Source organism: Homo sapiens, chromosome 4 (assembly GCF_000001405.40).
Source record: "Homo sapiens chromosome 4, GRCh38.p14 Primary Assembly".
In the NCBI taxonomy this organism is placed as follows: Eukaryota; Metazoa; Chordata; class Mammalia; order Primates; family Hominidae; genus Homo; species Homo sapiens.
In genome coordinates, this window is record NC_000004.12 from 15,361,250 (window position 1) to 15,387,153 (window position 25,904).

The 25,904-nt window shown below is 40.2% G+C and overlaps 1 protein-coding gene and 1 long non-coding RNA gene across 5 annotated transcripts in view; one reads left to right on the forward strand and one right to left on the reverse strand.

Annotated features, from left to right (window-relative positions):
- Nucleotides 1–25,904, reverse strand: part of C1QTNF7-AS1 (C1QTNF7 antisense RNA 1) — a 422,973-nt gene that overhangs the window by 356,308 nt on the left and 40,761 nt on the right. The gene's annotated exons all lie outside the window — the stretch shown is intronic.
- C1QTNF7 (C1q and TNF related 7) overlaps nucleotides 1–25,904 on the forward strand; it is a 106,382-nt gene that overhangs the window by 21,464 nt on the left and 59,014 nt on the right. The window contains exon 2 of one of the 4 annotated variants that reach the window (XM_047449566.1): nucleotides 10,916–13,520. The exons of 2 other annotated variants lie outside the window; for them this stretch is intronic. The gene's annotated coding sequence lies outside the window, so the exon portion shown is untranslated. Of the gene's footprint in view, nucleotides 1–10,915; nucleotides 13,521–25,904 lie in introns of those variants that run through there. One more of the 4 variants, NM_001135171.2, reaches the window with a different exon arrangement.

Below are 25,904 nucleotides of genomic sequence, written 5' to 3' on the forward strand. Positions count from 1 at the left end.
CTGTTTTCCATCTTCTTCTTGGAACATCCTATAGGTTAAGAAACTGGCTTGGGGAGATTATTCAAAATTACACAACTAATGGAATGATTAAAAAAAAGAAACAGTTACTCTGAAGGCCATACTGTCTCCCCAGGCTCAGAATGAAAAACTGAATCTGTCAAGGTGATATTTTTCTAATTATCTTTGTGCCATAATCTCAGCATAGACACATTAATCGCTTACATTGCTTTCAACATTATCTGGGGGAAGAAAAACCCTGAAATATACTCTCTGCCATTACCATATATACAGAAGGTCCAAATGATTCCAGAAAGGTGTTTTTGCCTCTTGAGAGGAATGACACAGTGTATTCAGAGCAATATTTCAGCCAGACATTCAAGCCCAGTTTGCTAACACATGCCCTGTGTAGTCAGATTTCGTTAATATGGTCTACTCTGGTTTCTTTCATTCTAAGAATTTAATATTGAATTTCAAAACCCAAATGGCATAAATAAATTCCAGATGTCTTCCCAAATCCCTAAATCTCATATTAGACTAAGGAGAGGCATTGCTATGTATGAGTAGACGGTTACATTTAATTCCTTGAAAAGCCAAAAGGATCTTTGGGAGGCTCTTCAGCCTTCTTCCACCAAGAAAACACATTAACTCTTCTGAGTTTCTTAAGAAGCTGAGTTCTCAAAATCCACAGCCCAGCTGTCTGACATATGTTCTGCTGCATTCCTCCCCTCGAGGGGCAAAAGAGCATCGTGGTGAACTGCAGGGCACAGAAGCCAGGCCGACTGGGTTCCAATCCAACTGGGTGGATTTGGGCAAGTCAATTAAGCTCGCTATTCCCCAGTTTTCTCTAAAATGGGGGTAAACATAGTACCTACACCTCGAATGGCTGTTGCAAAAATTAATGAGTTAATAATTTAAAGTGTTTAGCACAGTGCCAGCCACACAGCAAAATGTCTACACTCTTATTTCCTAAGAGGTGATGTATAAAGAGCTGACCTGGGAGGTCCTCAATGGCTGAGAAATTCCCTTCCCTCTTTCCCTCTATATAGACAAGTGTAAGTCTTCAACTTTTGATTAGTAAGATTCATCTTTCTGTGGGGGACTAATCAGCTAACTTCAGATCTCAGACCCCTCCCCTAAGTCTGGCCCATCCCCTACTTTTCCTACCTAAGTCAGCATTCTTGATCCTTGTGCGTTAGTCATAGGCAACTTGACCTGCAGCATAACTCCACTTACAAAATGTAAAAGTTCTTCAGAGCATTTGTGTAGCTTTGTGTCTGCAATTAATCAAAGAAGATCATATATGTAAAACACCAAAGGGTTTACAATAAGTGATTAAAAAATTATAGTTTTCTTCCTTCTTCCTCTTCCCCCATTAATGGCTGGCACCTCTGTTTGTAAGAAACGTGTGATTATGACATGAAAGACTCATTGCTAACCTTTGACAGAGCATTTACAGCCCATATATCCTTCAGCATCTCAGTTTCATGCCTCTACACCACACGTTGGTGCCAGATGTTAACTGGGCAAGCTTGGCTATTTCACACTTGACTATCTTTTCACTTTTCAGTAGTAACAAAAGCTTGCCTAATAGTTTATTATTTACAAAGTGCTTTCACATACATTCCCTTGAGTATGCTCTACATCAATACTATAAGTAAGTATCATCATCATTATCATTATGATTTTGCAGCATGGAAAACTCAAACCTGGAAAGATAAAAAGACTGGCCCAAATTCACTCTGCTGATAAAAGGTTCAGTGAGAATTTGAACCTGGGTTCCCTGCCTTGAAATTTTGTACTTTTTTTTCTCCCAAACTTCATTGATAACATGATAGGATTAAATAATGAAAATCTTAAAATATACCTCATTAATTATTTGGTTACATGTCTTCCCTTGATGGTATTTTTTTATCTTAAGCTTTGATTTTTCTGCTTTGTCTGGTGTTACCATGGTTGGGAAGATCACGCTGAGCTTAGTCTTTCAGCCAGGTGGAGCTGTTTTTGTAGGCTACAATGATTGTGTGTTGGATGGTTGGTCTTTCTTTTTTTTAAAGACATGTTTAATTGTTATTTTTATTCAAGTAGAACGAAAACTTTGTGGTCATAAGAGACCTAGGTTTATTCTACCTTTCTGTTCCTCCATCCTGGTATGCATGGTATGCAGCAATCCCTATTGTAATCACAAGACATCTACTCTACCTCAATGCCATGACTGCATTCTGGATCAATAGCAAACTACACAGAACAAAATCTGAACGTGTGAAACCACCTGAGCCTTTCTCTTCTAGGAAGCTTTCCCAGCAACCTCCTCCATCAACCTCTGCTTACTTATTATTGTCCCAACTCGGTGGGTCACAGCCTTCACTAGCCACAAAGGCTCCCAGGAAGGTGGGCATTTACCTGGCCACATTGCCTCCCCAGACAAATGAGGCTTCTGTTAACAAGAAATAATGGCAAAATGAACATTGGAAAGTAACTAACAGAATCTTGTAAGAAAATTACCATTTTTTGAGAGCCTGAAATGTGTTAGGCACAAACTAAGACAATATGAAGAAAGAAATGTCACTATCTTTGCATCAGACATATAGAAAGTGATATCCAGAAAGATGTAAAATGTGAAATGAGATGCCCTTGTCTCTGAGCATTGCTATGTGAGTTTTCCTCATGTGATGATACCCTGTTCAGAGCAGACACTCAAAAAATGGCTTCAAATGTTTTCTTCCCTTTCTCTCCTCTCTTGAAATTAGAAATGCAATGTCAGCTTCCACTTGGAATGCCTTTATATTCGCATTGTCTAATTAATCTTGTTATGATCCCACTATGGCTACCATTCTGGCCAGTGTTATCTGTATTCTCTAAACCATCACACCCCTGACTTGTCAGATCCTGTCAAACCTTTTCTGTGTCATGTTCTTCTATCTTTTTGGTTGACTCTCTAGAGCTATAATGACATTGTTTTCACTTTTAACATCATCAGCTAAAACATAAATAGTCTTTGGCTTGGTGATTTATCAGCCTCTTCATTGTACTTGGCACTTAGGAGGAGCTCAATGATGTCTGTTGAATGAATGAATCTCAGCTTCATCATTTACCAGCTGTGTGATCTTGGGCAAGTTTCACAGCTCTAATGAGTGAGAAAAAAATAAATGTTTGTTGTTATAAGCCACTGAGATCTGGGAGGTGTTTATTATGCAGCACCATTAATAGCAGCATTAGCTGATGACTACAGCCTGCCACCATGTAGATGGGGGAAGGAAATTTATGGAAGAGAGATGCTCAGCAGATAATGCCAAAAACATTTGCCATAGAATATTATCCATGCTCTAATAAGACACGTTTCTCTAGCATTAGTTAAAATGAACAGACAATCCTGAATTGTAATAACTTCACATATAATAAATACTAAAGAAATTACACATAAACTTTCCATATTGTATACATGCTCTGTGATTTTTAAAACATGTATGGAACACCACCGTGGAGAAAAAATATATTTCCTGGGCAAGCATCATCCCATTGCATCAGTGGGCAAGCACATGGGATGATCATGACAATTCAAAGTACCCAGAATACTTCTCTCATTGTCACAGCTGTGTTATAAATACGTTGGGTTTGAGGTATGGGAATGGTCTCTCTGAACAGAGAGTAGAATGGGTAAATAATCTCTTTTTTTGTGAGGCAAGAATAGCACCTCTTGATTGTCAGTGAAAACCAAAACTGGAGTACTTTTGAAAAGCTGATATATCATCACCTGGGGCTTCATCCCACGTGAAATGAAAATACACACTAGAGTTGAGCAGGGTTTTTCCTCTTGCTTTGCACACTCGTGTGTCTGACTTCTGTTCATGAAACATCCAGTGAAATGGGGATTTTACAAGCAAACGAGCAGGTGTTTGGCACCATATATATGTTCATACATAAAGGTATGAATTAAAATCTAGTATATTTCAAGGCCTTTGTCAAATAGCAAGGGAAAGCTCTTAAGAGATCTCTTTTTTTTTTCAGGCAGCATTAACTACTGGAAATATACTTGTGTACCTTAGAATCAAGAAGACCTGGATTTGATTCCCAGGTCTGCTAACAAATGTGCAGCCTTGAGCATATTATTTCTCACCACTAATTGTTTTCCTCACCTGTGCAATAGAGATAATAATATCTAAAATGTTTCAAATGACATTTCCACATTTGCCATCAAAAGAAGTTGAATATTGGTGATTTCACGTGGTTCAACTTAGACCCGTCTCTCGGGACTGACTCCAGAATAACAGAGCTCATGTATGTCTGTTAGTCACAACTCTTTTGGTTGCACATGAGAAGAACCCATCTCAAACCAGCTTAAGAAAAGAGGGAATGCATGAGCTCATGAAACTGGGCAATCTAGGAATGGTGTTAGCTTCATGTGTGTAGGATCCAGGGGCTCAAAAGATGCTTCAAGTATTTTTTTCTCTCTCTCTTTCTCCCTCTGACTTCCTTCTGTATCTGTTGACTTTGTCATACATGGTGGAGAAGATGACCAATGATAGGCTTCACTAAGAGCAAAAGGGACTCCTCCCTCCCAACGGCTGTATTCCTTGCATTCCATACTCACCCTTCAACTAATCACTGTTGCCAGAGGTGTCAGAGATGGCCTGTTTTGCTTAGCCTACCCTGGTGGACCTATCACCTCAGGGGAGGCAGCAGGAGTGAAGGACACTGAGCAGACAGCCCAACTAGAACTACATAAAATAGGAAAGGCAGTACCCAAAGATTACTGGGGTGCCAAGCAAGCAGAATAAAAAGATGTCCACTACAGTGTACACAATGTAACACAGATCCCAGCACATGGAAGATGGGTTAACAGCTGGAGAGTTTCCTATGCAATCCTCAAAGGATGTAAGAGACACAATTTACTGTCTCACTCAAAGATAAGATGAACAGCTTTTCCTGATTTGCCTGAGACTTTTCTGGTTTTAGCACTGAAAATCCCATGCCATGGAGAACTCCTCAGTTTTAGACTGAACTATCCCAGTTTTAAAACTGAAAGCCTCACATCTCGGGAACCCCCTCAATCCCAGGAAAATTAGGATGGCTGGTCACCCTATCCAAAAATGGCACTTGTAAGTGTAAACCTTAGCTACAGTTGAGGGCATGTTAAGTTAGTTTACTGTTGCTGCATCATGGAAGAATGGAATGGTATGGCACATGAAAAACTGCGGATAGTCCCCTGGAAAAAAATGCACAGCCCAAGTCTGTGTTACTTGCAGTTACAGCATCTAACCCTTTGCTTTGCCTCCCTCCTCTGCCTTTTCTTTTTCTTTCACTGTGTCTTTCTCTCTTTTTCTTTTTCCTCACTTTTTTCCCTTCCTCTCCTTCCTTCTTTTTTTCCTTCCAATCTTTCTCCCTTCTCTGTTTTATTTTCTTCTCTTTTTTAAATTTTCTTTTGTGGCTACATATTTACCTTTCAAATAACATGGGACTTAGATGTTGTCTGCAGTCTCCAAAGGAGCTGCTATGTATTCCTGGACTAAAACAAGCAAGCCTCAGTAAATATCCTTATCCTGAATGATCTACCAACTAAGTGAGAGCTTCATTGTTGATTAAGACAGGAAGTGCATGTGTGACTCCTGCGGGCTGGCTGAGACAGCAGGGTCATGCTGATGCACATGAGGAATGGAAAAATTGGGGGGAAAAGATAGTGATGATTGTGAAACTAAGAGATTGGAAATTCAAAGGGCTTGAGACTAGGTTCTTTTGAGGGACATTTTGGTTCAACCATTTACATAGGGGGTGCATCTATTTATCCATAATGAAAATTGCTGAGATTTGGAACTTCTTTCTGCTTTTGAATCAATTAATGAAGCAATATAAATCAGGAAGTGCTTCTTAGTTTCAAACTATGCTTTGAAGCTAGGCCTGCATTTGAATGTTTTCAATCCAAATCTTAAAATTAGAAAGAAGGCAATTTCCAGTCGTCTTCAAAGGAGAACTATTATTCGGGAAAATAGAGTCTTCTAAATTATACTTTTGAGAGTGATATGAATTTTCTTGCCTTTATTAGGTGCTAAAGTTCTAAAGAATTAACTCCACTTAGGAAGCAAATCCAAATACTCTCTCATGACAAGGTTTCCACCAAGTGGCGGTCATATACTTGGGACTTCCACTACATTTTCAGCATTCATATATCACTTATACAATTTTCATCATTACCCAGTACTACCAGCACCATTTATTTATCTGGCGTTTTCCACAAGTTGACTTTTTAAATTAGACATACTGAGTTGATGCAGCCGATGCAGCTCACTAGGATGTATGTGTATCAATGTCAGAGGGACCAGGCTGATCCCCAGATCATGTATTTGAAACCCTGTGGGAAAGAAAATTATTGTCACCTACAAGAAAAGCAGAGAAAGGACTTGGAGCTTCACCACATGGCCCTTATCTTGGTTCTACCTTTTGGTAGCCTTGAGATTTGGTTTAAGTGACTTTAATTTTCTACCCATACAGTGGTAAAGATTAATTAAGATAATGTCCAGAAGAATCAATGAACTTTGCTAGCACCTAGCAAATGTTAGCCAGGAAACTTGTTTTTATTTTTTTTTTTCACATGCAAACATTCCTAATTTACTAACTATGATTTTGTAATCAACATTATTGAGGTATAATTTACATACAGTAAAAGGCATCCATTTATAGTGCACAATTCAATTTATTTAAAGTGTTCAATTAGCTGAGTTTTGTACACACCCATGAAGTCACTGCCAAAACTTAAGAAACAGAATATTTCCATTTACCCCTGAAAGTTTCTTTCTGTCCTTTTGAAGTTTTTCTCTCTTTCTGTCCCTGACCTCATGCAACCACTTATCTGACTGATCTGCTTTTTTGTCACTGTGGACTTAGTTGCATTTTCTAGACTTTTACAAGTAGTATCTCGCAGTATAGACTCTTTGTGTCTGGCTTTTAAAATCTATCATAATGATTTTAAGAGTCACCCGTGTGGTTGGATGTATCAGTTGTCCACACCCCCGACTCTTTCAGCATGCTTTTTTCTTTTTATTTTATTTTAACCATTTTTTTAATTATACTTTAAGTTCTAGGGTACATGTGCACAACTTGCAGGTTTGTTACATATATATACATGTGCCATGTTGGTGTGCTGCACCCATTAACTCGTCATTTACATTAGGTATATATCCTAATGCTATCCCTCCCCACTCCCCCAACCCCATGACAGGCCCCGGTGTGTGATGTTCCCCTCCCTGTGTCCAAGTGTTCTCATTGTTCAATTCCCACCTGTGAGTGAGAACATGCAGTGTTTGGTTTTCTGTCCTTGCGACAGTTTGCTGAGAATGATGGTTTCCAGCTTCATCCATGTCCCTACAAAGGACATGAACTCATCCCTTTTTATGGCTGCATAGTATTCCATGGTGTATATGTGCCACATTTTCTTAATCCATTCTATAATTGATGGGCATTTGGGTAGGTTCCAAGTCTTTGCTATTGTGAATAGTGCCGCAATAAACATACGTGTGCATGTGTCTTTATAGCAGCATGATTTATAATCCTTTGGGTATATACCCAGTAATGGGATGGTTAGCCAGGAAACTTGTTAGTCTCACTGGTTGCAAGTAGCAAAGACTTGCAGAGTTCTTTAGGGCAGATGGTTCATTTATTCTGGGAAAGCCAACCAAATGGTGAATGTAAAGCGAAGATCATTTTCTGAAATATGTGGTTTTAAGTTGTTACACTGTCTTGGAGAAAATGATGTAAAAAAGAAAAAAATTGAGTTACAGCCAGGGACCATCTCTGCAGGCTAGGATATTTTGAGAGGAAATATGTCTTAATTAGGAAGGGACAAAGAACATGTCATAGTGTTCATTTCCCTCGGCTTCTTCAGACCAGATTTTGATCGCTTGTGGTTAGTGAGTCAGAGGTAAGGATGAGAAGGGAAAGAAACAAAATATTTTAGCAAAATTTTGAGAGTCTCTGCACACAAGTTGTGCTGATTAAGGCTCAAGTGAGAAAACAGCCCAGAATTAGGGAGAGGCAAGTCTCTCCTTCCTCTGCAGGGAAACCAGCATCACTTTAGATTTTAGAGGGTTTTTAAACATTCTGTTTTCTGATTATTTTGATATATAGGAAGGCTACTTTCATGTATGTATTTTTGTATCTATAAACTCTGTTAAACATATATTATTTCTAATGGCCCTTGTTAAATTTGCTGCATTGTTTAGGTGTATAGTTTTATTATCTTCAAGAATGATAGCTTAGCCTCCTCCTATCCATCAGCTACATCTGTTATTGTTTGTTTCCTGCCTTATCATATATAAATTATTTTACCATTATTTAAGAATGATTTAAAAAGTTTTGCATTTTTAATCTACTACAGTAAGAATGACTTTGAAAACTGAGCAATTAACAGCCCAACGAATAGCTAAAAATCTTTTGTGGTAACTTACATATAATGTAATGATACACTGGGAATGCCTTTGTAATCCTGTGATGAAAACAATGGGAAAGAAGGCCTGTGAAGTTGTATCAGTCAGTGATATTTCAGTTGAATACATTAATGAAGATAATGGAAGGTAAGCACCATAATTTGACTGCAAGACTTCAAATGTGAGATAACACCAAGAAAGTATTAACCACCTCAGTCAGCATTCAGTTAAGAAAATAGCATCAGGTAGAGATTTAAGACAAGAAATTAAAGTCTTAAAGAGCCATTTAAAGAACTGTAAAGAATCTATACATGAGATCATATTGTATTCAACTATACTGAACTATGCAACACACAAGTAAATCTACATAAAAACTGGTAAAAACTGAAGAAGGTCTGTAGTCTGCCTAATACTATTGTACTCATGTCGATTTTTTTTAATTCTATGATTATTATAGTGATATAAGATGTCACCATTTGAAGAGGCTAGGGTATTTTTGTAAATTTTTTTGTAACCTCTTATGAGTCTATAAATATTTCTAAATAAAAAATAATTGTTTAAAAGGGGTTCATGGGACCAACAACTGGCGAAAAAAAGCATTCTGTTTGGCTATAAACTGAGAAGAACAAGCTTGCTGGGAAGCCATAGGAAAGTGTGAGATTCTAGGATCTCACCCAGAAGTTCCTGCAAACCATACATCAGCTGGCTGTTTCCACTCTGTAACTGACACCAAAGAATAATGTTCTCTAATTATTTTGTATCTTTCACAACCCTGTGTGTGCCCTCCTTGGCTGGCTGTAATTAGGAACTCTGCCTACAAGTGATTCTGGGAAATGTAGTTCCAGGCTTCCAGTCTCTGTTCCCTCAGAGAGAGAGAGAGTGGAAAGGGCCAGGGATGGTGCTGAGTTGAAAACATACATCCCAACTCACTCATATTCAACAGATACTATAAACTTACATTCTAGCCTTTGAAAGGAGATTATAAGAAGGAAATTAATCAAAACTTTAGGTTTATAAATAAAAGAAATTTATAAATAGTTCCATTTCCCAGCATGGTTTCTTAGCCTAATATTCTAGTTATCTTCATCCAAAAGAATTTGTAATAAAAATATTTTCGTAGGATTTTTTTCCAGTTTATAAAGCAATTCCACATGTACTCTCTCATTGGCCCTCCAAACAATTTTGAGAAATAGATAATAATGGAAACACTTAAGATTTATCTGATACTTTCATTTCTACTATCACATTTCCTATTGTAACTCACCAACAAAACTAGGCTTCTTGAGGTTCCCTAAACACAACATGCTGTCATTCCGTTTCTTTGCACATGTGGTTCCTTCAACTGAAAATGTCTTTCCCTGGTAGGAATTCCTCCTAGTTCCTACACATCTTCACGCCCTGTCCCGTCAGCTCTTTCTAGGAAGAGACTGAGGCTGTTGGGGTATGAACAGGCAGCTCCATCCTGCAGAGGGCCAGGCTGTGCTGCCCTTGCAGGAACCCAGGCATTGACCAGCAGACAGCAGATGCGACCCAAGATCCGCTCCTCAAGCTGCCTCTCTCCACATTAACAACCTCATTCTTGATTAGCCAAACCTAGCAAAATCGACAGGGGAAGAATGCATTTGGTGGTACACAGAGGGCTTAATAAAGGGGCCTCATTAGACTGTTCTTGGGCGTATGCTTGCTAGTCATACTGCTGCAGAAGAATTTTGAAGGGCCTTTCTTCTACTATTTATTTTCCCCGGCTTGCCCCTGTCTAATCCTCCCTTGCTCCTCTGTAGCTTTTCATGTTAGTGTCCTAATGGCTGGACATATCTTAGTGAGCAAAGCATCCCTGGCTTCAGGGAGCTTACAGACTGGTGAGGGAGACAACCATTATGCAAATTATCTTAGAAATATATACCTATTGCTATAACCACTACAATAATAAAATGACACTTATGACATCCTATGAAAGGAGAAAAAATTATAAAGGGGAAGTGTAGGACAGTATAAGAGAATATAGCGAGGAAGAGCAAGGGTGCGGAGGGTCAGATTAAAGAAAACATCCCGGGGAAGAAGCATGTGAGTTCAGTTTGAACTAATGAAGGGACTTATTAACATGAAGGGGGCTGGGAGGGATGCAGGAAGAGAACATTCCAGGCAAACTCTCTACAGCTGTCAATCTAAGCTCAGTGGGCACATGGAGGGAATCCCCATGGCTTCCTTCTCATGGTGCTCTGGGTAACAATGTCTTGCCTCCAGGCAACTCAATAGGAAAGAGTAGGAAAGGAAAGGAAAGGGTCACAGCTCAGAATCTCGGAGAAAAGAGGAGGTGGAGGCAGAATGTGTCATGAGGGGAGCAGGGTTCTTGTCGTCATGGTTTACATTTGGTCACTGCTGCTTACTAGCTTTGTGACCTTAGAAAAGTCACTACCAAGATATCAATGTTGTTTTGACAATTCAGTGAGGGAAAAAAAAAGGCTCAATAAGTATTCGTTCCCTTCTTTTACTTCCCGCAGGCTTGCTATGGACTGAATTGTGTCACCCCAAAATTCATGTGTTGAAGCTTTAACCCCTATTACGGCTTTATCAGGAGATAGAGGCGTTCATAGCTAATCCAACTTAAATGAGGTCATAGGATGGGTCCATAATCCAATAGGACTATGGTCTCTTAAGAAAAGGAAGAGAAAGATCTCCCTCTGCCCACCATATGAGGACACAGAAGGGAGGCAGCCATCTGCAAGTCAAGAAGAGAAGCCTCACCAGAATCCAACCACGCTGGCACCCAGATCTCAGACTTCCAGACTCCAGAACTGTGAGAAAATACATTTCTGTTGTTTATGCCACCCAGTCTATGGTATTTTGTTATGGCAGCCCAAGCAAGACTCTACTAGAAAATTCTTCTTACAGATGATAGAGTGCAAATCTTAAATAACATTCAAATAATAAATTAATAAAAGGGTAAGATAGTGAATGGAACCATAAAATATGAGTTGGACTTGTGACTTGATCATTTTCAAGGGGGCGCTGATCTTGATTCATTTGATCTTTGTTCATGGCTACTTCAAAAATAAAGACATTCCCATTTGTGTCAAGATACCGTGGATGCCTTTCTGTGTGACTGAACAAAATATTTTCTCTTTGTTCTTCATTCTTAACATTACATGAAAAATGGAAGGACAATTTGAGTCCTAAGAAAGAAAACCAATAGCAGCAAGCATGGGAGACAAGTACCAAGAGGTGGATAACAAGGGAAAAAAGATGAAATACACTCCTAAAAGGAAAAGGGGGAAAAAAAGTCAAGGCAGAACCCAGGAGCCCTGGCACCTAGTGGTGTCAGCCAATGACACAGATGAAATGGGCAATGGTAGTTGCACATCCCGCTGGAAAATACCACTGTCTCAGCCCATTAGTACTGCTATAACAAAATACCACAGACTAAGTAATTTATAAACAACAGAAATTTATTTCTGACAGTTCTAGAGGCTGGGATATCCAAGATCAAGGTGCCAACAGGTTTAAGGCCTGGTGAGGGCTCTGTCTCTGCTTCCAAGATGGCACCTTGTTGCTAAGTCCTCCAGAGGGACAAATGCTATGTCCACACATGACAGAAGGGTAGAGGGCAAAAAGGGCTTAGCTATCTCCTTCCAGCCCTTGTACAAGGTCATGAATCCCATTCACGAGAGCCCTGCCATTGTGACCTAATGACCTCCTAAATGCTCCACCTCTTAATATTATCACATTGGATCTTAGGTTCCAACGTATGAATTTGTGGGGAAACACGTATATTCAAACCATGGCAACTACTTTATAGTTTCAAAGCCTAAAACATTGCAAAGCACTATCTTGATAAACACCTCATTTGATTCTAACCACAACAAAATGAGGTAAGTGCAATGGGACAGGGATCACATACCCAGTGAGTCAACTGTGTTTTGGAACGTTTAAATGACTCCACAGGGCTCCCTTGGCTGTTAAGTGTTCCAGGCAGTGGCCAAGCCTTGATTTTCTATTTCTAGATCTAGTGTTCTTTCTGAGGCACATGTTAAGATATGCTGTATATGCTGTATACCCTTTCATCTAATCTTGACCTGGATTTCCAAGGTAAAATTTTCTCCATATTCTATCTCATTTCCTGGCCACTATACTCCTCCTTCTCCATCCAAAAGTCACTCAATGGTTTCTTTCAGTCAGAAAATAACACCGAATGGAAAATGAGAATGGAAAGGAGAAGAGAAGCATGTAAATGGGGCTGTGACGACAAAATTTCATCTTAGGATACAATTGCTTTCATCCTGGACAAAATGCTTTCAGAGAGATTACCACATTGTATGACCAAGCAAGGGTTACTATTACGATTTTCATTCTGCAGCTGTGAAAATCAAGACTCAGAAACATTAAGGGCCATGTCCAGTGATAGGTATCTTAAAAGATCGAGAGTCAGATCTCCAGCCCTTGCATCTGCCTCCACCTCCCTACAGTGGACACAGCACTGGCTTGACAGTCGGCTCTTAGGTTCCTGTCCTTCCACTAACTAGCTGTGTGATGCTGGTCAAGTCTTGTAAGCCCTGGGCATCGTTTCTTTCTACTGTCAACCGAAGGGGCTGGGCTGCTTGGTCTCTAAGAACATCCTGTAAAGTAGCTGATAAGAAAGAAATTGCAACTGCTGGTCTTTGAAGACCAGTCAGAGGTGCCCTGATCTCTCCCAGCACAACAATGAGAAGGTGTTCAGCTAATATCACACTTTTAGAAAAAATATTGTCCAGACTCACTGTGCTATTTCCCAAATATGATTTGGGGAGCGAGCCAACAGATAAAGAAGGATATTTATTTTTGTTTGTAATGTCGACGTCTTCTTTCGGGCTCGATCAAACAATCAGGAGATCTGTGTAGGCCACAGCGTCATTGCACGCCGGGGTCCTTGCCCGCTCCCTCTCTCTGCCACCGCTCAAAGCCTGGGAGAACGCTTTTGAAAGCGAATCAGGAAATTACTTATCAATCTGAAGCCCCAAAGAATTATGAATAATCCTCGCTGCCAAAGGGAAGGGGATTTTGAGCAAAAGCTCCACATCTGCGCACACTAGAGTTCAAAGACTCCAGCTGTTGGAAGGTCTTGTGAGCAATGTAAGTAAACAGCCCTCTCTCCATTGATAAACGTCTTCAGGCTTTTTTTCCTTAGAAAGGCGTCTTTTGGCTCATGTTGGTGTTTCTCTCTCTCTCTCTCTCTTTTTTTTTATGATGTTCAGGGGTGTTTACCGACTGGGGCTTAGTCAATAACACAACTCCTCTGGGGGTTGCTTCTGCTGAACAAGAGAGGGAAAGCGAAAGTCGTCAGAATCGGCTTTGCTTGGGAAGGGTTAGTTTTGAAAAGCCCTTCCTTGCCAATTATGCTCCTTCATAGCTATAGATCCATACTCAAGAGGAGTGTGAGGCTGACACCGACACTCGCGGGGGCAAGCAGAAGTGTCTCTGTAACCCTACTCTGAAAAACAGAATTGTCATCGTGTCCATTCCTACATAATTCACATTGAAGGTGCTTTCTTCATTTTGATACACTGTAGGATTTTAGTAGAGGAAAAAGAAAGCATTAAAGTGAATATTGTTCTGTGGAGATTTCCTTATAGTGGCATAAATTCTGTGTTCAATTTAGCATTCATTAAGGGTGTTGATTTATTTACTGTCTATTTTATTATTAAACGAATGTGCTTACCACTCCACTTGGCCATGGGAGGATAATGCAATCATTGCAATATGGAAGCAGAAATATCTAAATTGTGTTGGTAAAACTATGAGTTTGCATTAATAGTAATTCTATAAATGGAATGCATAATTTCATAAATGATGCATTGTACTGGGGTACATTTCTTTTATAAGTATTTCAAATCAAATTGTGGGTAATGACTGGGAAGTAGTTAAAAGAAATACAACAAACTTGAACGGAATCGTTTTGTTTGGATCAGCCTTTGTCCTCAGGAACTTGAATGTCCATTTTGCAAGTCCCTCATCATGAATTCTATGGCTGCAAGGAACATATGTCCCGAGTCCTCACACTCTGTCTTATCATCAGACTATGTATCTCCCAATTTGTTCTGATTCATGATTTCAATAAGACCCCACACCCTCAGCCTGGGTTGTGTTCCCCCAACTCACTGGAAAGCTCCTCCAAAATAAATAATAATTGCCCTTAACTCTAGTTGACATCTGACTTCCTTTCCTCTCTTTGAGTAATTTTGGTGTGTACTTCCACATCCTGTACTGTTAAGACGGGTTTCATTTCCAGTATGTCAGTCATTGTCAGCACACACATAAGCTGCTTCCAAGAGTCGAAAGGCTCTAGGTTACTGTACATTTATAACAGCAATTTTCTATGTAGCCCTTTCTCAAGCAACTCATCTATACTTTTATTCTAAGGTGATCTGTAACCTTTCACCTTTACCTAATAAACAGATAGTATGTGCCTAATGTGCTGAAAGCAATAAAAACCAAATGTGACACAATGTTCCCCTTCTTGTATAAACATGTCTGTAGTTTTTATGCAGCCCAAGTGCACTTTTGTGTTCACGGGCAATAGCTAAATAGGGTTGAACACTGACTGTCTGAGCTGTGCAGTGGACTGCGTAACGAAATAGAAGGATGAAGTTTGTAATGTGAAAGTAAGTTATTCAAATTTGGGGAAATATTTACTGAGCATTTGTCGTGTGCTGGGCCCTTCCTAAACATGCCTTGTGCACTCGTGGGAGCAGCAGGCTCACTAGTAAGGTGTAGAGACTCTGAAGCAGAGTTCCTGGAGACACAAACCAGATTGGCATCTGTGTGAATCTGGGTTGGGTTACTTAACTCCTCTGTGCCTCAGTTCCCTTACAATAAAATAGAGCTCATAACAGCAGGGTTCATGTAAAGTTTGAGAGTTGATATAGACAAAGTATTGTTTTTGTCTCTTTCATATATGAGAAAACCAAGGCTAGCGAGGTTTACTTGCCTACAATTACACAGGTAATGATGGCTGGCAGGGCTGGGATTTGGAAGTAAATGAGTGTTTTAATCATAATAGAGAAAGTCCACATTTTAAACCACAGCCTCCTGCCCTTTTGTTGTTGGATTCTTTCTTCTGCATTCCTTTATCCAGTTCTTACAATGGCCTTCTAAATAAACATTATTGACTGTGATGATTTCAGACGAGTAAACTGAAGCTCAAAGACATGAAGTGACTCATCCAAAGTCACATACCTAGAAATTAGCAGCACTGATGTCTGAACACAGGTTTTCAAATTCCAAGTTTTGTGCATATTTTTTCTTTCTCTTGCCAATCTGTGAATGAATGGGTCAGGCCCACACCTGCCCTTTGGGGAAGAGTGAAATAAATAACAATGCTAATGGTCACCATCAATTAAGCCCTCACTCTGTGCTTGGCACAGAATCTCTTTAATTAAAGTAGGTCCCTGTGCCCCTTTGTTAATAAATTATCTAGATGATTCTGGTATATACTAAAGTTTGACAGTTCTATAATCTGGGACAAAATGGAAATTGTTATATCCAATATGACCTAACCTGAAGAAGGTGAAAAGTCCTGATAGAGATGAGAAATTTGACATTTTCCCCAACTCAAATTTGTGGATTACCCTGTGGTCAGAATCAACACTATTTCAGGGTTATTTCCTATCTTGTTGATACCCCCGTGCTTTCTTCAACTTTTGGCCCATGTCATCTGAACTTTCTATCATCTTTGATTGCATCAGGTTTCAATCATCAGCAGATGGGTGGATTTCTTTCTCTGGTAGGCTTTTCATGGCAAATTTGTGCAACTCAATAGGATTCATCATCAAATTGAAATAAAGCTATAATATCTATGAGAAATTTACTCAGTAAATTTTATACAGAGAAGCACCAGCAACATAGAGTATTTGCTGTGTTGAATATAATATCTTCAAGTTGGTTTCTCTGAAAACTATAGTGCCCAGACAGATATAAGCCAACAGGGGATGCCAAACACAAACTTGGTGTACTGGGAACTTTAGATGCCTGGGAAGAGGTCATGGAAAGGGTGGTGGAGCAGGAAGCATTGAACACTGAAAATCATTTCTTGTGATGTCATGACTTGAAGCAAAATATCCCTGACTTTCAATTCTGGCTTCTCCACTTTCTAACTGCAAGGCTCCAAGCACATCACTTACCTCTTAGTTTATGTAACACACATAAACAACTTAGCACCGCAACTAGCATAATAGATACCTAAGAAACAAGAGTTCCTTTCCTCTTTAGCTCTGGTCCATTCAATCCACAAATTTGCACTGAGGACTTATATGTCCTAAACATTATTTTAGATATAATAGTGAACAAGAGCCAAAGTCCCTGCCTTTGTGGAGCTTGCACTTTACAGGAGACAAACCACAGAATCATAAACCAGAATGTAACTTCAGAAATTGAAAAGTGGTATGAATAAAATAAAACAGAATAACAAGACACAGTGACTAGGTGCCAGGAAGGAGCTAATTCTTTAGCTAACATGGTCAAGGACCACCTCATTAAGGGAGGGGCATTTAGCTCAAAGCTGAATCATAAGAAAGACAAAACGAAACAAAGCCATGATTAAGTAAGCCACTGACTAACCATGGGACACTAGACAAGTCACTGAAGCTCTTTTTAAGCCTGTTTCATCACCTATTAACTGCACAGCTGGAGTAAATCTATGGGGCTTCTCTAGACTCTGCTCAGAAAACTCTGCTTTGGAATTTTCTTTCTCTTTCTTAGTATCATATGCCATAAGTAATTGTATGAAAAGAAGAAAGAAAAAAATCTCTGAACCAAACTATATTACAGTAGCTGTTTCATTCTTTCATTCAATGTTCTGGGCTTTTTCAACATGTTCTTCCTCATCACAGACAAACTAGTATGTCCTAAGTGAATGAAGATTAATTAACAATTTTTTTAAAAGCTCATATCATCACAATTCCTAGGGATTACATTGTTGGAGGAGATAAGAACCACCACATGGCAGATTTTTAGGAATTAATTGTGAGGCTTCACAATTACTTCCTGTGTGGCTTCAAGTCTGAAATTGTGCATATGTTAGTGGAGTCAACGTCCAAAGCTGCCAGAAGTCAGTCAATCCAACACTCTATTAGCCAAGAACTAATAGAGTGTACAGCTTTTAAAAACAATCCAGGGTCTGAAATGTTCCTTTTCTTAAAATGGCACAGCAGATCACTTGGGTCTAAGTTAGTGGCCTACTCAAAATGAAGATCACCATTCAGAGAACTTGCACCAGAGAAGTAAACTTTGTCTTTCAATTAGCCTAATAATTGTGGCCAAATCCTTGGCTGTAACAATCCAAATGATTGTCTCATTACTCCATTTTGTCTTTGTCACCATAGTGACCTCAATGCAACCTAGAATGAGTATTTGGTGTGTATAGCAAAATAGAATATATGGGTCAATATTTTCAATTTTCAAGTACTGTTATTTTTTGCTTACTTTATAAAACTGCAATTCCCCAGAATGCAAAGCACATTTTTTTAATATAATTTTTTTGTAAACAAGTTCCCGAGTTAAGATTCAAGGACTGAAAAATAAGAGTAAAGAGGATGGGATTAGGAAATTGGAGTTAATTTGCCTGTAGTGAAGAAAGTTATGGAGCAATTCATGATGCTTCTTGGGATCCGACACAATTTCAACCAGAGAATAGTGGTAAGTTGTTGTCCAGTCGACAGAGAAGGGGAAAAAAGAACTGCTTTCGAACACTTACTTTTATGACAAATAATATTCCCAACATTTTACATATATTAGCTCTGAACCATAACTTCAGGGATTATAGTGTAGCTATTACTTTGCTTATTTTACAGATAAGGAAATGAAGCTTAGTGATGTTAAATAACAAGGAAGTTCATCAACTAGCAAGCAGCAAAGCCGCAAGTCAACCCAGGACTGCTGGACTCCACAACCTGCTAACTTTCCACTCTGTCACTCTGCTTTAGAAAAATAAGGGGCTTTTTTTTAACCCACATGCAATACAAATTCTATTTCAGCAAAGGAAGAATTTACTACGAGTTTTTAAATGTTGACATGGTCTCCTTAGGGAAGAGGCTGTGGAATTGTCTTCTTTGGAGGTCTATTAAAACCAGATCAGTTATCATATATGTCTGGTATGACTTCAGTGTGGTCCTTCCCCAAGGTGAAAAGAGACAAAATGATTCCTCAAGTTCCTTTCTAAACTTTCCAATCAAAGGCCAAGTCTACATCCATGCAAGGCAAAATGGTGGGGACATGTTGAGTCCAGCTGTCCTATTCTTCTTCCCCTAACCCAGGCCGATTACGTTGGTTGAAGTGATGTCCAGATTGTCTGGAAGGGCCACAGTTGCTTGGATCATACCATGTGGGCCATTCTTCCATAACCAGGGAGTGGACCCAACTCTGTTGCAGTTAATGCCCAACAAAATGAATATCTTTCCAATGAATCTGTTGTCTAATTCAAAGGCTATACTTTCAGTGTTTGCAAACTACAAATTGGGACAAAAGCTGGCATGAAAATTGAACTGTGTTAGAAAATAGGAATACCTTTTAAAATTCTGGCTATTAAGTGTATCAGCTAGGATTGTATTTGTAAGTATCAGAAAACCCAGTTCCTTTATTATGCAGGAGGTTTATTTTTCTCACACAACAAGAAGCCCAGAGGAAGGTCTAAGAATGCTGTAGCTATCCAAGGATGCCACTAGGAAACCAGTGTCCTTCTCTATTCCTTCTCACTAATGCTAGCATGGGCTTTTATTTTTATGGTGGCAATATAGCTGCTGCACCTCCAGGTATCGAGTTCATATTCTATGGAGGAAAACAAAAGCCTTTTCCTTGTCAAACTTTGCCTTTTAATTTCAGAAGGGAAGCCTTCCTCCAAGACTTTCCATGTGCATTTTATTGGTGAAACTGTGTAAGTAATAGGGTTACCCCTAGCTGCAAGGGAATCTGGAAGTCTGCGTATTCTGCTTTCCAGTCTTTCATTTAAAAAAGGTATGGGGAGGCCAGGCACAGTGGCTCACATCTGTAATCCCAGCACTTTGGGAGGCCAAGACAAGTGGATCACTTGAGGCCAGGCGTTTGAGACAAGCCTGGCCAATGTGGTGAAACCCCATTTCTACTGAAAATATGAAAATTAGCCAGGCATGGTGGCAGACACCTCTAATCCCAGCTACTGGGGAGGCTGAGGCAGGAGAATCGCTTGAACCTGGTGGGTGGAGGTTGCAATGAGCCAAGATCACACCACTACACTCCAGCCTGGGCAACAGAGTGAGACTCTGTCTCAAGAAAAAGAAAGAAAAAGAAAAAAAGGTAGAGGGAGAAGTGAATTGGGTTGGGTCTTGAGTGACTCAACAAACCATACTTGTCAAAATATGCCATAAATTCCTATTTCTGAAAACAATAAATATAGAATTTAATATATAAATTGGACTATATTACATAAACATTTACTAGCTGTATCTCTTTTAATATTTAAAAATTATTGGCCAGGCACGGTGGCTCACACCTGTAATGCCAGCACTTTGGGAGGCTGAGGGAGGTGGATCACGAGGTCAGAAGATCAAGACAATCCTGGCTAACACAGTGAAACCCTGTCTCTACCAAAAATACAAAAAATTAGCCAGGCATGGTGGTGGGTGCCTGTAGTCCCAGCTACTCGGGAGGCTGAGGCAGGAGAATGTCGTGAACCTGGGAGGCAGAGCTTGCTGTGAGCAGAGCAGAGATGGCGCCACTGCACTCAAGCCTGGGCAACAGTGTGAGACTCCATCTCAAAAAAAAAAAAAAATTGTGAACATGGAAATATTTTCTTAAAAAGTGAAAAGGGGAAGATAGGAACAAAATTCTTCCTGAAGTAGATAAAATGGGAAAAACATGAGTTTGGGTGCACATATCAAAGTCTGAATTCCAGCTGTGCACTTAATTAGGTATGGGACGTCTCTGGACTACAGGTTCTTCATATTTAAAATAAGAGCAATAGTAGCTACCCATAGAATTTCTTTATAAATAAATAAGATATATAAATTGTTTATATGCCGTATAAAGAGGCTAGCATGAACTAGACATTCAGGAAATGGTAATTCTCTTCTCCCTTGCTTTGCACCTTTTATTCAGCAAGTGCATAATGGAACGCAACTTCATGGAACCCAACTCAGACAGGATTGACAGTTGAAGAACCAACTCTTTAATTGTGAGAAATTAAAACAAATCTACTGAATGGTGTGTAGCCTTTCTCTATCAGTGCATGCCAAGATTCTTTCATTTGGGGCTTCATCACATTATCTTAGCAAACCAGACAAAAATGTCTAAGCAATTTCATTTTCCAAGCTGCATCGTATGTTTCAAAGTGCCATCTGTTTGTAACTTGTTACAAAATAGAGTCAACAGAGCCATTTGGTGACATTTTAAAAAGTGACTTCAGTGTTTGTTTCCAAGGGATATAATTCCCAGAATTTGTGCAATTTGTTCTGTGTCGCTGTGATGTGAAATAAAGCCTTCACAGAGGCTCTCAGCTGTTTCAATACATTATCCTCATCTTAACCCGTGAAGCCAGGTTTCAAATGTGGTTTTCTTTCCATTTTAATTATCTCCCCATGTCACTGTGACCTTTCCAGTCAAAGATTTAAAGCTTGTCACCTCATAGTCACCATTGCAAAATTAAAAAGAGGAAAATCACAAACAAAAAAAAGAGCCTACAGATTTGCATAGCCAAAATCTATTCATTAGCCAAAAACTCATTTCTGCAAGATGATAAAGCAAAAAAAAAAAAATTCTAGAACACAATTCAAAGCCGTGGGTTCTTGTTCACGAATGAATGCTGCAACCTTCAGCAAACTACCATTTAACCTTATTCTCTCTCTTTCCTTACCTGGAAAAAAGAATTAACATACCTGTCCCACCCATCTCACCTGGTCAATATGTAGATTGTTGAGATAATGCATTAGAAGCCCCATTCAAAACAATGCATGATATACTCAGGCCTATTTTGGTATTTCCTATCTATTGTAGTACAGTTTGCATCATATTGTTACACATGATGAATCCCATACCCTTCTCAAACTCCCATCTGATTTGTCTCCTTATTTTTACAGCCAGACTTTCTTAAAAAAAGCCACTGCTCTTGCTTCACTGTTTCCCTTCCATACTGTTAATCTAACCTTAGTTGATTCTTCCTGGATCCTACTTGATTCCAGCTGTTCGGACTAAGTATCCAGCTCTCGGCAGGCTCACCACATTTCCTGGCCCAAGTGCCGCCAAAGTCATTACATGTTCATTGAACAAATACTTATTAGTGCTTACCAAATCGGAGGTGATCAAAACAGACAAAAATCCCTGCCCTCTTACAGAAAACATTTTATTTCTCCAGACTTAGGAGCCTAAGCATGCTGATAAGGACACTCAAATGTCAACAATCCAACGTCATGCCCTCTCCTCTCACTGAGCAACTTCACCTAAGCCTTTCTTGATGTCTCTGTGCTGTACCCACATGTACTCAGGAACTCCAAGGCAGCAGACACTATGCAAACCATGGACCCTAATGTTGTCCTTCTTGGCAATGGTAATATTTGTGTGACAAATGCAATCTCTTATCTTCCCCCAATCCCCCCAAATGATAATTTTCATGCAGCCAGAGTGTTGCTAGGTTCAGGGCAGAGGGAGGTAGAGAGAAAGCCACTTCCCTATGTTGATTCACATGGCCCCCAAAATGGTTACGCTAATACCAACAGACTTAAGCCTTTCCTAGAAATGCCCTCCTGAAAAATTTTCCTGGAAGCATTCCTTTCAGTATCTGATACAACTCTCTCCATAAAGGCTCAAAACCAGTCACTAGGCAGAAAACAAAAACAATTTATATCCTCCATTGTCCGGTACTTGTGCATACTCATCCCACACACCTTTCACTTGCAATGGCCAATCTCCAACTCCTAGCTGGCCTTAGCCAGAACACTGTAGAAACCAATGAAATTTAGGAAATTTACCTAAGGCTTTGTACCTTCAAATTGTTATTGTTCAGAAATAGTCATTCCCACCTACTCCCAACCACAGAATACTAGGCACAGTTGAATGCTTTCAGGTAGCAACGTCTGTAGTATCTTTGGAAAGGGCTGATTTGCTTTCTTCACCCCTTGCTAGTCTTGAAACATGCCTTTAACCTGCCAGGTCCACCTTCCTTGGAAGGACAGAGATGCATGGTGTTAGAGGTGGCTATGGGAGCCAAGTCAAGGTTATTTCAGAATGGACAAAAATTGAACATTTGTGTAGGTTAAAAGCAACCAGCCAGTGGTAGAAATGGAGGCTATCAGAGAATGAGAGAAGGTAGTTAGACCAGGTAATCTTGGAGAGGAAAGAGATGGATCAAAACAACCACCCAGGTGGAGGACTTGGTCTTGAACAAGCATGGATCCTGACTCACAGCTGTGTCCACTGAGGCAGGTGAGAAGCAAGTGAAGATGGGTAGGAATTTGAATAAATTGGGGATAGTAGGGAAATTGAGATGACTATGATAATGTTTTTCTCTAGGAGGTTGAACCTGGGATCATTGCTTAAGATAAAGACAGTGAGCTGATTAAATGAGTGCTGAGAGCTCCCAGGCCAGTGCTTGTCATAGAGTAAGCACTAGAAAGGAAGTATATATTCACTTCTGTCCTCCTTGACAGATTGAAATGATAGCAATTGTTTATTTACAAAGGATCTCATCTAAAAACAGCCCATGACACCATGCATATATTTTGCCTTTCAAGTGAAACACAAATACAGCTTTTTTTTTTATTTTAAACCCTAAACTATAATGACTTCTCTAAGCTCATCTCAGCTTTGAAAATAACTTGGCCCAGGTATATACTATTTGAGAAGACCTCTGACCACACATATTCTCTTTCTATGACCCCTGAGTCTAGAGAATGTTCTGGAGCCTCACCAGCAAAGAGGTGTGTGCAGGAAGAAAACTGAATTCCGGAGCTTTTCTGTTCAGTGTTATAGAAATGGTTCAAGACATGACAAATGAAAGGGAGTTAATCTAAACCATAGACCATTTTTATACTTGGCCTGTGAAACTTTTTGTAAGCATAAACTTTACTGGGCCAGATCAGGCTCTTATCTCCAAATGTTTCCGATTTTGACTGTCTTCCTTTAATTATTTGAAATCATAAGGGTTGGTTTGGGGAGGCAGCTGGCAGGCAGACCAGAGCAAGTAGTGGCCTCCGGGGAGTGGGGTTGCAGGATTCTCTTCCACCTTGCCCTATCAGCCCTCACCAGCACCATAGCAGGGAGAAGCAAGAGCAGGATTGGACAGACCCAGGATCAGCCAGTGTTTCAGGGCTCCCAAGAAGGGCATTCTCTTGTGAGAACAAGGGTTAGGAGCTTGCGATTTCTTGAACACTGGTTCTCTCCTTCTCTTTCTCTCTTTTTCTGTCTGTCTTCCCAAGCTCTTGTAAATAAGTACTGGTCTCTTTGACTTGTTTTTTAGGAATTCTAGTTACCCGCAAGACCAGCACAGTAACAGAGAGGCAGAACTAAGCGCTCACCAAGTACCTGGCACTATTGTGGGTGCTTGGGACAGAGCTGTGATCAAAACAGACAAAGTCCCTCCCTTTAGCCCCTTAGAGTCCACTTGAGGGGTGACAGACAAAGAAAACACAAAGACGTACATGTCAGAAGGACCACAGAAAAGGAAGTGACATAGAGACAGAAAAGTGTAGACAGGTGGGTCAGATAAGGCTGGGAGCCATGGGAAGCCAATGTTGGAGCAGAGATATAAGCCACATCAGCCTCTGGGAGAACAGCATTCTCAGCTGAGGAGTGACAAGGAGGACAGAAGGCAGGATGGACTGTGCTTGGTTTGTTTCAGGAACAACAAAGATGCCAGGGTGGCTGGAAAGGATCCCATGAGGCAGAGACTTGAGGTCAGAAGGCAGTGGGAGGGGGATCATCTAAGGTCTTGAAAACACTTTGAGATCTATCCTGGGAGAGGTGGGAAGCTACTGCAGGGTTTTCAACAGAAGAGTGACTGACAGATCTGAAAGTCCACTCCGATCTGAAAGTCCACTCCGATTGCTATTTGGAAAATGCACTGTCAGCAGGCAAGGCAAGGTGGATTATACTATCCCCACTCCAGTTCTCAGTACCCTGGCTGGGCAATTTCAACAAGAGCGGGCTCGCTTGGTGAAGAATTCACAGGTAAAAATAAAATAGACACACACCGAAAGTTTAACAACCACCTTCATTACGGCTTATATATTACATTAGATTACTCTGTTTGAAGACAGACAAATCACATCATAACACGATAATAAAATGAAATTAATTTCACTAAGGACAGTTCTATTTGTAGCATTTTGTTTCGCCAGCCAGAAAAACTCAAATACCAGACTGTTATGCTCAAAAACCAGACCTGGAAGCCAAAACCAAAAGCTGTCTATTCTCCTTCCTTTTCCTTGGACCTGCCTCTCCTGGCAGAGTGCTGTCCCTCAGAGAGCAGGGAGGATGTCCGCATCCCAGCCCGGCTCCACAGGGTTCTGGGCTCCTACTCAGGAGTTTGTGGCCAAAGCTCCAGATGGCACACACTGTTCCTTTCCCTGGCCTTGTCTCTCATGCATGGAGCTTTTGAGGGGACCATGGAGGAGGCTAGTACAGAAACTAGCTCATTGAAGTCTTAGATACAAGAGGTCATGGGTCCCAACCAAATATTATTTGTCAACATTTATGGCTTTTATTTCATTTTTTCATCCAACAAATGCAGGTCCCTAATAGGCACCAGACACTGTTCTGGTTGCTCAGCACTCAGCAACGAAAAGTGCAGACAAAAATACCTGCCCTCGTGGAGCTTATATTTTATGGGGAAGACAGATGATAAAAAAAGAAATACATAAAACACGTGTACCTTAGATGACCATACAAGTCATGGAGAAAACAAAGAAAAGGGGGTGTGGAATGGTTTGGTCTGCAATTTTAAAGAGAGTGGTCAAAAGAGGCTTCATGGGCAAAGTGAAATTTGAGTATAAATCTGGAAGAGGTGGAAGAGCAAGACGATGCTATAGATGGGTATAGGTGGAGTCATAGCCACACACATCTGAGGGAAAGGCTTTCTAGGCAGGAAGAACAGTGTGTGAAAATGTCCCATGGCAGGAGCATGCACAGCAGGCTTGAGGAGTGGCACAGAGATAGGGTGGCCAGAGTTGAAGAAGTAGAATATGATGTAGACTGGTTGGGAGAGGCAGGCCACGGAAGGCCTCCTGGCTCACTCTAAGCCTTTAGCTTTTATTCAGAGTAAGAAGGGAAGCCATTAGAGAGTCCTACCAGGAGGGCTCTGTCTGCTGAGTGGCTTCTACAAGGGCAGGAGCAGGAAAACCAGATAGCGACTGTTTCAATCATTCAGGCAGAAGACAGCGTTGAAAGGAAGGAAGGTGGCAGCAGTAGGTATGGGGAGAAATGCTGAGACACTTGAGGTGATGTTTATGGGAAACCAAAGGATTTGTTAATGTACAATTTGCAGGAAAAGGAGAATCA